Source organism: Homo sapiens, chromosome 3, assembly GCF_000001405.40.
Source record: "Homo sapiens chromosome 3, GRCh38.p14 Primary Assembly".
NCBI lineage: Eukaryota > Metazoa > Chordata > Mammalia > Primates > Hominidae > Homo > Homo sapiens.
In genome coordinates this window covers 131,979,025-131,994,762 of record NC_000003.12, presented here as the reverse complement: position 1 = coordinate 131,994,762, position 15,738 = coordinate 131,979,025, and the positions used below count along the sequence as shown (strand labels likewise).

Genomic DNA, 15,738 nt, shown 5'->3' with positions numbered 1-15,738 from the left:
TCCATCTCCCCAGTGTATATGCTACTCTAAAAGTTTACGTCCTTTGGGAGGAGTAGGTGCTATTTTAAGTAATTACTTGCTTTAATGTATTCAGACCTTAGAGATGGCTTCAGGGCCCAGTACATAGGGTTCTCCCAAAGAAATACACAAACCTTCAAAAGAATTTAATTAATTTATGTTACCTGAACTTTGAAGGGCTGGAAGTGAAAAATCACACTAACATTGCACTTCTCAGACTTTAATATGCATATAAATTGAATTGCCTGGAGAATTTGTTAAAATGCAGATTCTCCTTCAGCAGGTCTTGAGCAGCTGCCAGATGGTGCAGCTGCTCCTGCTGGTCCATGAACCTTACTTTGAGAAGCAAGAAGCTGACATTTCAAAGTGTAATTTCATTATACTTGAAGTTTGGGGTTATCTTTTATTTCTCTTACGTAAGTTTATATTTTACAAAATATAACTAAAAAACTCACCTTACTGATACTTTTGGTTGGAACTGCATTGATTCTACACAATATTAAATCTTCCAATCCATGAAGTTGAGTTATACATCTTCATTTGTTCAGGTCTTTAATTTTTCTCATTAGTAGTTTTTACAGCATATGAATCTTGTACATATCTTGCTAGATGCAGACTTTCATCTTTCATGCTGATCTAGATTTTACCTAGATTTAGATTTTACATTTCTGGTGCCATTATAAATAGTACTTTTGCAAAATGCAAATTTTCCATTCCATAGCTAATATATAGAAATGTCATTGATTTTTGTGTATTGTCTTTCTACAATGCAACTTTGCTAAGCTCACTTAGTTCTAATGGCCTTTTTGTAGACTTCTAGGATTTTCTATGTAAATAATCATTTTATTTGAGGACAGAGACAGCATTGTTTCTTGTTTCTTCCTAATTTGTATGTCTTTTTCTTGTATTTTTGCACTAGTAAAGATCTCTACTCCGATATTGAATGGGACTGTCTTACTGGTATTTTTAAAGCTTGGGATATTATTCCAAGCAATAATTAGAGAAATGTAAAGTTAGTATCTTAAATTGAGAGCATTACCTATTAACACATCTTTGAGTATTTTTTATTAATAGTTACAATGGTGCAAAAGAGAATTTTTCCTGTGGGTTAGAAAACTTTCTAGAGCTCATCTTCTACCAAGGGCTTTGATTCTGCTTCTGCTGCACTTTAGGATGTTGGTCTTATGCAGAACCCATGTTTTCACAGACAAAGTCATGAAAGTGAATGTAAGAACTTTAGTTTCTAAAGCTATGCTTTTTTTTTTTTTTTTTGCCACTCCTGCACACGAAATCAGGGTGTTTTCTGCTTGAGTGACCCAGAGTTGAATAGTTTTAAGTAATAATATTTCTCCATGATCATCTTTTGCTTTTTCAAAAGAATGCTAGTCAAGAAATTAAGATTTCAAGTTTCCTGTATCCTCTTTAAAGGTCCTGAACCTGGACAGCATTTATCAATCTACTTAACTTCACATAGCAAAGGAATTCATCAAAATATTCTTCCTTTTGAACGTTAGTGCCACTTGTGATACTTTCATGAGTGAAGTGATAGAGAACAGAACGATTTTTTATGGACCTAACTCCTTATTGCAAGGTAATGCAATTCTTCATTCTCTAGGTCTGCTGAAAAGCAAGTTTGCTGAAAAGCAAATCATGTGCCTTATCCTCCATTATCTCTTCAACCTCCATTATCTTTGTATTAGTCCATTCTCATGCTGCTAATAAAGACATACCCAAGACTGGGTAATTTATAAAGGAAAGAGGTTTAATTGACTCACAGTTCAGCGTGGCTAAGGAGGCCTCAGGAAACTTACAATCATGGCAGAAGGGGAAGCAAATGTGTCCTTCACATAGCAGCAGGTAGCAGAAGTGTTGAGCAAGGAAGGAAAAGCCTCTTATAAAGCCCTTAGATCTCGTGAGAACTCACTCACTATCACTAGAATGGCATGGGAGTAACTGCCTCCATGATTAAATTACCTCCCACCAGGTCCCTCTGACAACACATGGGGATTATGGGAACTACAATTTAAGATGAGATTTGGGTGGGGACACAGCCAAACCATATCATTCTGCCTCTGGCCCCTCCCAAATCTTATGTCCTCACATTTCAAAACACAATCATGCCTTTCCAACAGTCCCCCATGTCTTAGCTCATTCCAGCATTAACCCAAAAGTTCAAGTCCAAAGTCTCATCTGAGATAAGGGAAGTCCCTTCCACCTATGAGCCTGTAAAACTAAAAGCAAGTTAGTTACTTCCTAGATACAATGGGGATACAAACATTGGAACCATTCCAAATGGGAGAAATTGGCCAAAACAAAGGGGCTACCGGCCCCATTCAAGTCCAAAATCCAATAGGGCAGTCATTAACCTTAAAATTCCGAAATGATCCCCTTTGACCCCATGTCTCACACCCAGGTCATACTAATGGAAGAGGTGGGCTCCCACAGCCTTGGGAAGCTCTGTCCCTGTGGCTTTGCAGGGTACAGCTCCCTTCCAGCTGCTTTCACAGCTTGTGTGTCTGAGGCTTTTCCAGCTGCATGGTAAAAGCTGTCAGTTGATCTACAATTCTGGAGTCCTGATGATGGTGGCCCTCTTCTCACAGCTCCACTAGGCAGAGCCCCACTGAGGACTCAGTGTAGGGATTCCAACCCCACATTTCCCTTCCTTACTGTTGTAGCAGAGGTTCTCCATGAGGGCTCCACCCCTGCAGGAAACTTCTGCCTAGATATCCAGGCATTTCCATACCTCCTTTGAAATCTAGGCAGAGGTTTCCAATTCTTGTCTTCTGTGCATCTGTAGGACAAACACCACATGGAAGCTGTGAAGTCTTGGCACTTTCACCCTCTGAAGCCACAGCCTGACCTGTACCTTGGCCCCTTTTAGCCACAGCTGGAGCTGAAGCAGCTTGGACATGGCAGGGTACCATATCCTAAGGCTGCACAGAGCAGGAGGCCCAGCCTAGGAAACAATTTTTCCCTCCTAGACCTCTGGGCCTGTGATGGGAGGGGTTGCCATGAAGGTCTCTGACATGCCCTGGAGACATTTTCCCCATTTTCTTGGTGATTACTTACTCAAATTTCTCCAGTGGGCTTGAATTTCTCCCCAGAAAATGGATTTTTCTTTTCTATCGCATTGTCAGGTTGCAAATCTTCCAAACTTTAATGTTCTGCTTTCTCTTGAATGCTCTGCCACTTAGAAATTTCTTCCACTAGATATCCTAATCATTTCTCTCAAGTTCAAAGTTCCACAGATCTCTAGGGCAAGGCAAATGCTGCCAGTCTCTTTGCTAAAGCATAGAAAGAGTCACCTATGCTCCAGTTCCCAACAGTTCCTCATCTCCATTTTAGACCACCTTAGCCTGGATTTCATTGTCCATATCATTATCAGCATTTTGGTTGAAACCATTCAACAAGTCTCCAGGAAGTTTCAAACTTTCCCACATCTTCCTGTCTTCTGAGTTCTCCAATTCTCTAGGAAGTTCCAAACTTTCCCACATTTTTATGTCCTCTTCTGAGCCCTCCAAACTCTTCCAACCTCTGCCTGTTACCCAGTTCCAAAGTTGCTTCCATCGTTATAGCCATGCCCTACTCCTTCAGCACCAATTTACTGTATTAGTCCATTCTCAAACTGCTAGTAAAGACATACGAGAGACTGGGTAATTTATAAAGGAAAGAGGTTTAATTGACTCACAGTTCGGCATGGGGAAGGAGGCCTCAGGAAACTTACAATCACGGTGGAAGGGGAAGCAAACATATTTTTCTTCACGTGGCAGCAGAAAGGAGAAGTGCTGAACAAAGGGGGGAAAGCCCCTTATAAAACCATCAGATCTTGTGAGAATTCACTGTCACAAGAAAGCATGGGAGTAACTTCCCCCGTGATTCAGTTACCTCCCACCAGGTCCCTCCCATGACACATGGGGATTATGGGAATTATAATTCAAGATGAGATTTGGGTGGGGACACAGCCAAGCCATATGAATCCTCCCTTTTTCCTTCAACAATGGATATCCTGGACAAATAAGTTACACTAGGACAGAAAAAGAAAGGGACACCAACGATTATTCCAATAAATTTTTGAAGTATACAGTTCCAAATCAGGTATTTATTTTATTGTAAAAGATCAAGAAAATGAAAATAATCCAAGTCTTTTCATATTTTATTCTATACGTATTATGTTGTCAAGTCATATAACATTTGTCTTACGTATTTTATTGAATATGTACTTGAAATGCTTCATACAATATAATTGTTATTGTGTTTACTGGGGGCAGGGGGTGTTTAAAAAAAAGAAAAAGAACCAAAAACAACATTTATTCTACACATAACACACACATAAAACATTTATTCCACCTCTACATAACAATAGTTGTTTAGACTTAGGCACTAAAAAATTGGCTAGAACTCAAAACTCAACTCAGTCCTTGAACCAATAATTTTTTAGTAAAATAACCTATAGCCTGCACAATCATAATTTAGATAGTGAAAATTATTCTTTCGTAAAACTAAACTTACTGATTGTATCTTTTCTTTTAGAGAATTAAATATAGATAAATCTTTCTATCTTGGAGATGTGGTCATATAAGTTTACAGAGACTTGTATGACACACAAAATGATAAATGAAGATACATTATTTTAAATGTCTCTTCTGTTTTACAAAGTTACCAGTGAAACAATGGGCATTGCAATTCACCTGAAGAGAATGTGGGCTTTGGCTACAAATTCACAATAATCCATTATTTTCATTATGCCCATAGTCCAGCAACATTCCCCTTCCAAATGGAGCTTCCTGCCTTTCCTTCAATGGCTTCCCAGAGCCCATGCGTTACATTTAAGCCTCTTTAGTCCAGAATTCTGGGCCCTTCATGCTTGGTTATAAGCTTGCTCACCCTGGTCTCACCAGAACGTTATTCTCACTGTACTACTACGTGTTTCCCAAAATCTGAAAGCAATTTTGCTTTTTGATATTTTTGACATGGTGTTATCTTGGACTGGACATGCTTTCTCCACCCGTAAAATTTGGATTTATTCCTCACCTATCACCACCTCAAATTACATTGTTTTAATAAGCGCTTTCTTGTCTCCCAGTGAGAGAAAATATGTCATTCTTTTGGCTTTCACAAAAGTTGCTTCTCTCTCTTTTCAGCATTAATTTCATTCTATCTTGAATTTTCTTTGGTTCTTCTCATATCTGTTTTCCTGGTAGAATACAGCACCATGAGGGTAGGACTCTTGGTTTACAGGTTCCCAAACTTGCGCAATTCTTTGGCCATTGTTACTGCTCAAGAAGAAATTTTTAATACATGTATTTGTAGTTAAAGCCTCTGTTTACTCACCTACAGTGTTTGATGAGAGCTTAATGTTTGATATTCCAAAGCGGTATTTTATGCTTGAAACAATCTATGCTACCTGAAAGCCTTTAGGGGCACTTAGTTGACCTACAGGGACTCCAGTAAACTCTAAACTCCTATATTTTCACGTTGAATCTGATCTCAATAGCCACCAAAAGGTTTTATTTCTTTTAGAAGGATAATAATGCAATAATGCATCCAGGTCTGCTTCTTATCTCCTAGAGGTCATGTTCATCATCTGCCACCCTTTGTGTGGCACCTGAGAGTCATTCAGACAGGTGGGCTTTGAACACACCTTTAAAATGCATCACTCTGAGAAGTAAAATCAGCAATGGCAAAACAGCAGTGCACACAATTATAAGCAGTTTCCTAAGCATGTATCTCTATATAACATAGTCAACTATTAGTTTATGAGTCCTAAAGGGAAGAAAGAGGGGAAATGCATAGAAAAGAATAATTTGTATTTAACTTTTGAGCTTTGGGGTCTTTATGTCCACAGTGAAACATAAGTGGGCCTGGCATTACAGTGATCCAGGTTTATGTGAATCTAGCTCTTCCTCAGCTATGCTGACCATGGAAAAAGAGGTATCATTGTCAAACATTTTTTAATTTGTGGATTTATTTATAAATCTTATATTTGGAAAACTATGTTAACTAAAAAATAAATTTACATAAAATTGAGATTATTCTGGTAAGCCTGGAGAATACGGAAACAATAAGGACAGTGTTCCTCCCCATTTTTGTGCATGACACCCTGATTTTTACAGGTGTGCAAGTGAGAACACTCAAAGTCATCTTTGACTCCTTTGTAGTCAATCAACTATCAAGATTTGTCTATATTCCTACATGAATATCCGTAAACTAGGCCCATTTCTGTCTCCATAGCTATTGCCCTCATCCAAGCTAATATCATCTCTCTTTTGGTCTACTAGACTGACCCTCTTTCTGGCCGCTCTCCAACTGGCTCACCACAATGCAGTTAGAGTGATCTTTTTAAAAATGCAAATCTGATTATGCCACTCTCCTGCTTAAGCCCTTTCAAAGGCTTCCCATTGCTCTTAAGACAAAGACCAGAATCCTTAACCTGGCTCATCAAGCCCTGCTTTCTCCGGCCCCTATATGGATCAGTGACCTCATTGTTTACTGCTAACTGTCACTTCTCACTTTCCAACCATATTGACCTTCTTTCAACAACTCAACTTCACCCTGTTCTTATAGCATGTATCTCATTTGGGATGAGTAAATATATGTGTGTTTTATGGTCTAATATCCATAAATCCTGGGGGAAGGGGAACAAGCATTTTCCCTGACTTGTTCATGTCTGTGTCACCTACTCATAGCACATGGCAGAGACTCACTATGGTATTTGTAATTAATGAATAAATGTATCACACTAACTATTTGCCCTCAGTAGACTGTGGCTTCCTAAAGGAAGCCAAATGCTTATTCATGGACCTAATATTCAACAGCCCTGTGCTTGGCACATTATAAGCACTGGGTAAACATTTATAGCAAATCGACTTGTAAGTCACCCTGACACTAGTCTAGAGCCTTGAGACTCAAAGTAAGATCAGATGCTATCGAGCATCAGAATTGCTTGGGAACGTGTTAGAAATCTAGACCATCAGAACCTACATGGGTTCTGCATTTTTCCCCCAGTTTCACTATTTTGTTGTGTAAAGTATACTAATCTAAAAGTGTACAACTTGGCTGGGCATGGTGCCTGGTATTTATTCTAATCCCAGCACTTTGGGAGGCCAAGGGGGGTGGATCACGTGAGGTCAGGAGTTCGAGACCAGCCTGGCCAACATGGTGAAGCCCTGTCTCTACTAAAAATACAAAAAATTAGCTGGGTGTGGTGGTGCATGCCTGTAATCCCAGCTACTCAGGAGGCTGAGGCAGGAGAATCGCTTGAACCTGGGAGACGGAGGTTACAGTGAGCTGAGATCATGCCATTGCCCTGCAGCCTGTGTGACAAGAGCCAAACTCTGTCTCAAAAAAAAAAAAAAAATCTGTACAACTTAATTTGTAAAGTGTACTAACCTAAAGTGTACTACTTATTGTGTCAATTTTGTTACCTTTTCCCACATCAAATGTAGAACATTTCCAGCACCAAAGAGGTTTTCCTTCTTCTTTTCAGTCAATACTCTCCCAGAGGCAACCACTGGTTTTACTTCTACTATCGTTAATTAGCTTATTAGCTTTTCATGTTCTTGAACTTACAAAATACCACTATTTTTTACTTAATATTTTCAGAGTCTGAATTTTCACAAATCACCCACAAATCACACATTTGAATATGTGCACATTCAAATTTGAGAAGTGTTTTTATGGAGCATTCATTCTCACTGCTGGCTGCACATTGATATCAACTGATGCCTAAGTACCACTTCCAGAGATTCTGATTTAATTGGCCTTGAGTGAGGACTGGACATCAGGACTTTTTGAAAATTCTTAGGGGATTGTAATATGCAGCTGAAATTTAAAAACACTGTTCTGTCTATCCTTAAGTTCTTTGTTTTTTTTTTTTTGTTTGTTTGTTTTTGTTTTTTTTTGTTTTTTTTTTTTGAGACCGAGTCTCGCTCTGTCGCCCAGGCTGGAGTGCAGTGGCGCAATCTTGGCTCACTGCAACCTCCGCCTCCCGGCTTCTAATTTTTTATATTTTTAGTAGAGACTGGGTTTCACCATGTTAGCTAGGATGGTCTCGAACTTCTAACCTCGTGATCCGCCTGCCTGGCCTCCCAAAGTGCTGGGATTACAGGCGTGAGCCACCGGGCCCAGCCTCCTTAAGTTCTATGTTGCACAATTCCTCCTGTCTCTGATCCATGCTAGGAGAGAACAGTCGTTACCTCTCAGAATAAAGCAGATCTTGCCTAGAGCAGATTTGCCTGCTTTTTTGTTTGTTTGCTGCTTTTCTCATCTCTTATCTTCCCTAGAACCTAAAGGAGATGCACTTAAGCCATTAGGTTGTTGCTCTCATCATCCTGTGGGAACAGTGGTGTGCTAGAGCTGACCCATACTGGCTTGTGAGGGCAGATTGTGTGCTTCCAACTATATACAATGTCATTCAAATTATTCAATGACATCATGTTGGTAGCTTGAACTTGGCCATGGTGGGAATATTTACACAACAGAAATTGGCAAACACTACCAATCAGGTTCTGTTTCCTCCCTGACTTCCTCCTAGAGAGCTGGTTTGCCATTACACACCCCCTATAGGTAAATACTGCTAAGGAGAAGGGCTTAATCTGGTTAAAGCAGTTGTAAAATGATCTTTCAGTAGTCTTCTCAAGCGATGACTTTTCCTAACCTCAAATTTACCATTTAGCAGTTACTAATATGTTTAAATAATGTTTTCAATGCATCTACTCCTTTGGGAAATATAAAAAGATGGATATAATTATCGTATTTCTTCCATCCATCTTGGTTGAAAACCCTTAGAATTATTTCCAATAGTCACTATTGTCTGATCTTGTTTAGGCCATCATCCCATTATGCTAAGTCCATGGGCAAACATAACAGGATGATGGCCTAAACAAGACCAGACAATTATCCCATCATCAGTGTTGTGCTCAGTACATGGACTAGGTAGCAGAAATCAGTGATAGCTTTTATTACAGCATCTCACTTAAGGTTTTTCATTGAATATAGTATTCCCTTGGAGTTGATGGGCATATGACTTAATTGGTTTCAATTGGTCATTGAATTCCACTGATTACGAAGTGATCCAATATATTTTTTATTTTGTATATAAACCTGTGGGGCAGCACTGAAAAAGAACTTATGATTCTCAGTGTTTAAAATAAGATCTGGAGTCAGATAAACCTGTTTTTGAATCTTGGCTCTTCTACTCCTATTTGGGCAATCATAGGCAAATTATAATGTCTGTAAGTTCCATGTTTCTCATCTTTAAAATGGGTATTAAAAATAGCTTGCAGGATTATCCTGAGGATTAATTAACATAAAACAGAAATGCACTAAGCTTCTAACATGATGCATAGTAAAACACTTAATATCTTTGGTTGGGTCCCCAGGAGCAGACTCCAAGACAAGGATTTGGGTGCAAGTAGTTTGAGAGGTTGTTATAGACTGATGTGTCCCTTTCAAAAAACTGATATGTTGAAATCTTAATCCCCAATGTGATGGTATTAGAAGGTAGGAACTTTGGGAGGTAATTTAGGTGATGAGGGTAGAGTCTTCATGAATGGGATTAGTGCCCTTACAAAAGACAACTTAGAGGGCTCTCTAACTCTTTCTGTCATGTGAGGACACAATGAGAAGTTGACACTCTGCAACTTGGAAGGGAGCCCTCACAATGCTGGCATCCTGATCGCAGACTCTCAGTATCCAGAACTTTGAGAAGTAAATTTCTGTTGTTTATAAGTCATGCAGTCTATGGTAATTTGTCATAGCAGCCCAATATAAGACAGAGGTCACCCCAGGAAATACTGGTAGTAGATGGAGAAGTCAGACAAGAAAGAGAAGAAAGCCAACAAGGAGTGGATTACCACACACATTTGCATTGTGAGTAATTGGAGCTTAATCTTACTGGGGAACTCTGAGAACCAATGTGGAAGATAGACCTCAGAGGTATCTCCCTAGAAGACAGAAGAAACTGAGGTATTAATCTACCAACTCCTATCAGTCATCAATTCTTAATTCTCTGGCACTACAACCTTCCATGTATATGAGCAGAGAAGGATCCAGTGACCAGAACAAGCCCTTAAGGAAAGTGATGTAGGTGATACAGTTGGAAGATGGGCCAGCATATGCAAAAATCGTTCAGGGAAAAAGGGACATAGGCAGGCACTGATATCTATAGTAGCTCAATAAACACTTGATAGCAGTAGCTATATATGGGAGGGTTTTCATGCCAGAAGCTTGTTTACACATCAACTACTTTGATAGAGGTGGGGGAGAAGAGTTAAAGCAGCATTAGTTCATCTCCTAAGGTTTGTCCCAGCTCTAATATTTACAAATATCTCATGGTGTATTTCTTTCTGTATGCACAAGCACTGCTCTTTTTGGTGAATTAAAATCACAAGAAACCCTTATGCAGTTTTACTTTTAATAATGGGAAACGGTACTGTTGTAACCATTAAATTCTAATATGATAAAAGATAAGTTTATCTAGAGGCAGTGCAGTTCAGTGTAAAGACCACAGGATGAAGAGTTAGGAGATCTTTGTGGAGTCTTTACTCAGTCACTTACCATTTGTGTGGCCTCTTAAAGGAGTAAAAATCTACAAGTCTCAACTGAAAGGAAAACATTACCTGCCTAGCTAATGTGTTATAGTGAGAGCACATGGAACAATGCTTTGAAGAGGAGTTGTCTCAGATGCTGAGCTCTACATAGGAGCAGTCAAGTTTTCTACCAGTCAGAAGGGCAAAATGCTTCTGGTTGCTTTTGGCAGGAGTACTGAATTCACTGTAAGGCTTGATGATTACCTTGTGCTTCTCCCATATCCACAGCACTGAAGTAATTTGTGATTTGAAGACACAGTGACTCTCTTGGGGCACATTAGACACATAGATGTAAATCAATTGATTCCAAGGATTCTGTGCAGCTGTTGTCTTCGATGGATATAGTGGCTGCAACTGCCTGTTTCAGTTTCCTCCTGGAAAACTCTTGATATCAGTCTCTGACATCTTGGAGTATTTCTTTGGCTCCACAGACATTAAGGAAAATCATCTATAGAAAATATTTATATAATTTTATCTTTGCTTGTTCTCAAATCCAAGGGATGATCATGCCAAAATTTTAGGAGTGAAATATGTCTTTGCCCACAGTGTGCCTACCACTTTATAAATTATACCCTTATACAAAGTATTGGTTTTGAATTTTGGAACTAATTATAACTAGGTAAATGCTTAACTGGAAGACTTTGGAATTTCATGAAATCAGTGCCTTTAAAGTTATGCACTTTAAAGAGATCTTTTTGTATTAATTAGGATATCCAGTAAGTCTTTTTGTGCAGCTCCACGTCGTAGCAAGGAATTTATAATATGTATGTATTTTAAAGATGCATGTGGCATTCTAGCAATTACACAGTCTCAGTGTGATATAAGTGTAAATTAGTCTTACCAGATTCTGTATTTAAAATTGTAGTGTAAAACTATATACATTTTAAGGGTGAATCCTACTGTTAGAGAAAAATAATTGCATCAATTTTCAATAAACTTTGACAAATATGGAATTAATCTAAGTTAACTACTAAGACCCTAAACTTAAGTACCTGAGAACTTAGATATTTACAAGGTAATGGTTATTAATCAGAAAGCCTAAAACTTATAAAAATATCATTCAGTATTAGTGTTCTTATAGTATTTTCTAGTTTCAATTTTTAGACAAAAATTTTGGTAACATAATTTGGAAAATAAAAATGATGAAGTAATTAAATGTACTAAAAGATAATTGTCTCATCTTTTTTTCTTTAAAGATTTTGTTTGCTCATGTCAATGTTATCTATCACTTTAATAGAAGCATAAACTTTAGAGCATCCATGATGATAATGTAGGCAGAATATTTTTAGATAGTATTTCATATATATGTAATTTATTGTAAGCCAATTTAAAGTTTCCTTATTATAAGCCAATTTAAAGTATTTCATATATATGTAATTTATTATAAGCCAATTTAAAGTTTCCAATTAAAGTGAAATATATTTCACACACATAATAAAATAAATCTTGATCTTTCTAAAAAAATCAATATGTACTTTCTTATGTGTAAACAAAAAAATTCATGCAAGTAAATCACAATAATATACCACCAATGACTCTGGCAATAAAGCACACAAATAATAAAGTAAAAGTTATGACCTTCCATTAACCGTAAACACTAATCCTGGTAAAGGGGATGAGAAATTGTTTATAATAACTCAGCACATAATAACTGCATTTGAGAAACCAATTACTGCTTTTATATGGCTTCAGTTTCTCAGTCTAGCACTTCATTTTTGCAATAAAGGACCTGAGTACATTTGCATCCAGTGCACAAAAGGTGTGCAATGAATAACTGCAGTTTAATTGGGCTCTTAAGAATTCTGATATCTTCATTAACTTATTTCATGACAAATGTATTTATATCTTTGCAACTGTTTTTACTGAATTATATACATAAATTTTTTAACCAGTTTAAAATGGCTCATCTGTTAAGAGATCTGAATGCATAAAGTTTTAGTAGTAAGACAATTTATCTTGATAAATGAAGTCAAGCAATGTAGATTTAGCAAGGTTCCAGAGCTTTCAGTGATCATACAGTGGACCTTTAAAGAAACATAAAAAGAAGAGGTTCGATCATAATGGCAGAAGGGAGGCAGGACTAGATTGCAGCTCTGGACAGAGCAGTGTGCGGGGGCTCATATTGTGAGTTTTAGCTCCAAATTGACTGCAAGAACAAACCAGCGATCCCCAGAGGACCCACAGACCCTCTGAAGAAAGGGGTCTGCTCCTGCAGGACCTGGGAGACATCCCCAAAACTGTGAGTGATCCAAGTGGGAAAGGGAGACCCTCCTCTCCCAAACACACACTCCTACTGGAGAAGCTGAAGGTCTGTTTGTGGGAGAAGTTTCCGACTTTACTTGGAGCTGAGTCAATTTGGAGAGCTGAGTGAAATACAGGGGTAGAGGAAGCAGCAGAAAGGCCCTGGGAGCTTGCTGGGTCTCCTAGCAGGCCACTCCTGCCTGGCACCACAGTGATCCAACGCGAGATGAGCACTGGGTAAAACTACACGGGGAGAAGCATATCTATAGCTCAACTTTGTAACAATTTGAACTGGATGAGAAGCCTTCTGGCCAGAACTCGGGGGAGGGCACAAATCTGGTGTGCAGGCTCCACAGGCAGGGGAAGAACCAAGCCCTTTGGAGTGAGACTGGCTCTTCAGTTTGTGTGGGAGCTGGGTGAAGCCTGTGACTGCCAGCTTTCCCCCACTTCCCTGACAACCTGCGTGACTCAGAAGAGGCGGCCATAATCCGCCTACATACACAACTCCAGTGACTTGGGAATCTCACCCCCATTCCCCACAGCAGCTGCAGGAAGACCTGCCCAAGGAGAGTCTGAGCTCAAACATGCCTAGCCCCACCCCCACCTGATGGTCCTTCCCTACCCACCCTGGTAGCAGAAGACAAAGGGCATATAATCTTGGGAGTTCTAGGGCCCCACCCACCACCGGTTCCTCCCCATTCTACCACAGCTGATGCTCTCTGGAAAGCGCCACCTCCTGACAGGAGGCCAACCAGCACAAAAATAAAGCATTGAACCACCAAAGCTAAGAACCCTCACAGAGTCCATTGCATCCCCCACCACCTCCACTGGAACAGGCTCTGGTATCCACCACTGAGAGACCCATAGACGGTTCACATCACAAAACTCTGTGCAGACAACCCCCAGTACCAGCTCAAAACTGGGTAGACTTGCTGGGTGGCTAGACCCAGAAGAGAGACAACAATCACTGCAGTTTGGCTCACAGGAAGCCGCATCCATAGGAAAAGGGGGAGAGTACTACAACAAGGGAACATCATGTGGGACAAAAGAATCTGAAGAACAGCCTTCATCCCTAGACCTTCCCTCTGACAGAGCCTACCCAAATGAGAAGGAACCAGAAAACCGTGGTAATATGACAAAACAAGACTCATGAACACCCCCAAAAATCACACTAGTTCACCAGCAATGGAACCAAACCAAGAAGAAATCCCTGATTAACCTGAAAAAGAATTCAGGAGGTTAGTTATTAAGCTAATCAGGGAGGGACCAGAGACAGGTGAAGCCCAGTGCAAGGAGATCCAAAAAATGATACAAGAAGTGAAGGGAGAAATATTCAATGAAATAGATAGGTTAAAGAAAAAACAATACAAAATTCAGGAACTTTGAGCACACTTTTAGAAATGTGAAATGCTCTGGAAAGTCTCAGCAATAGAATTGAACAAGTAGAAGAAAAAAATTTAGAGCTCAAAGACAAGGTCTTCAAATTAACCCAATCCAACAAAGACAAAGAAAAAAGAATAAGAAAATATGAACAAAACCTCCAGGAAGTCTGGGATTATGTTAAACAATCAAACCTAAGAATAATTGGTGTTCCTGAGGAAGAAGAGAAATCTAAAAGCTTGGAAAACATATTTGGGGGACTAATAGAAGAAAGCTTCCCTGGCCTTGCTAGAGATCTAGACATCCAAATAAAAGAAGCAAAAAGAACACCTGGGAAATTCATCCAAAAAGATATTCACCTAGGCACATTTTCATCAGGTTATCCAAAGTTAAGATGAAGGAAAGAATTTTAAGAGCTGTGAGAGAGAAGGACCAGGTAACATGTAAAGGAAAACCTTTCAGATTAACAGCAAATTTCTCAGCAGAAACCATACAAGCCAGAAGGGATTGAGGCCCTATCTTCTGCCTCCTCAAACAAAACAATTATCAGCCAAGAATTTTGTATCCAGCAAAACTAAGCATCATATATGAAGGAAAAATATAGTCTTTTTCAGACAGACAAATGCTGAGAGAATTCACCATTACCAAGCCACCCCTACAAGAACTGCTAAAAGAGCTCTAAATCTTAAAACAAATCCTGGAAACACATCACAACAGAGTCTCTTTAAAGCATAAATCACACAGGACCTATAAAACAAAAATACAAGTTAAAAAGGAAAAAAAAAACTCAAGATACATGGGCAACAAACAGCATGATGAATGCAATGGTACCTCACATTTCAATACTAACATTAGATGTAAATGGCCTAAATGCTCCACTTAAAAGATGCAGAGCTGCAGAATGGATAAAAAGTCACGAACCAACCATCTGCTGCCTTCAGGAGACTCACCTAACATATAAGGCCTCACATAAGTTTAAAGTAAAGGGGTGGAAAAAGGCATTTCATGCAAATGGACACCAAAAGCGAGCAGGAGTAGCTATTTTATCAGACAAAACAAACTTGAAAGCAACAGCACTTAAAAGAGATGAAGAGGGACATTACATAATGGTAAAAGCCTTGTCCAACAGGAAAATATCACAATCCTAAACAGATATGCACCTAACACTGGAGCACCCACATTTAGAAAACAATTACTAATAGACCTAGGAAATGAGATAGACAGCAACACAATAGTAGTGGGAAACTTTAAGACTCCACTGACAGCATTAGACATGTCATCAAGACAAAGTCAACAAAGAAACGATTTAAACTATATGGAACAAATGGACTTATAGATAGACATATACAGAACATTTCATCCAACGACTGCAGAATACACATTCCATTCAACAGTGAGTAGAACTTTCTCTAAGACAGACCATATGAAAGGCCATAAAATAAACCTCAATAAATTAAAAAAATTGAAATTATATCAAGCACTCTCTCAGACCACAGTGGAATAAAACTGG

The 15,738-nt window shown here is 39.0% G+C and overlaps 1 protein-coding gene and 1 non-coding gene across 8 annotated transcripts in view; both read left to right on the top strand.

The window, feature by feature from the left end:
• CPNE4 (copine 4) overlaps positions 1 to 15,738 on the top strand; it is a 506,038-nt gene that overhangs the window by 44,844 nt on the left and 445,456 nt on the right. The window lies entirely within an intron of this gene.
• MIR5704 (microRNA 5704) lies at positions 8,832 to 8,908 on the top strand. The gene has a single exon (NR_049890.1). It is a non-coding gene; the product is annotated as a microRNA 5704 (primary transcript).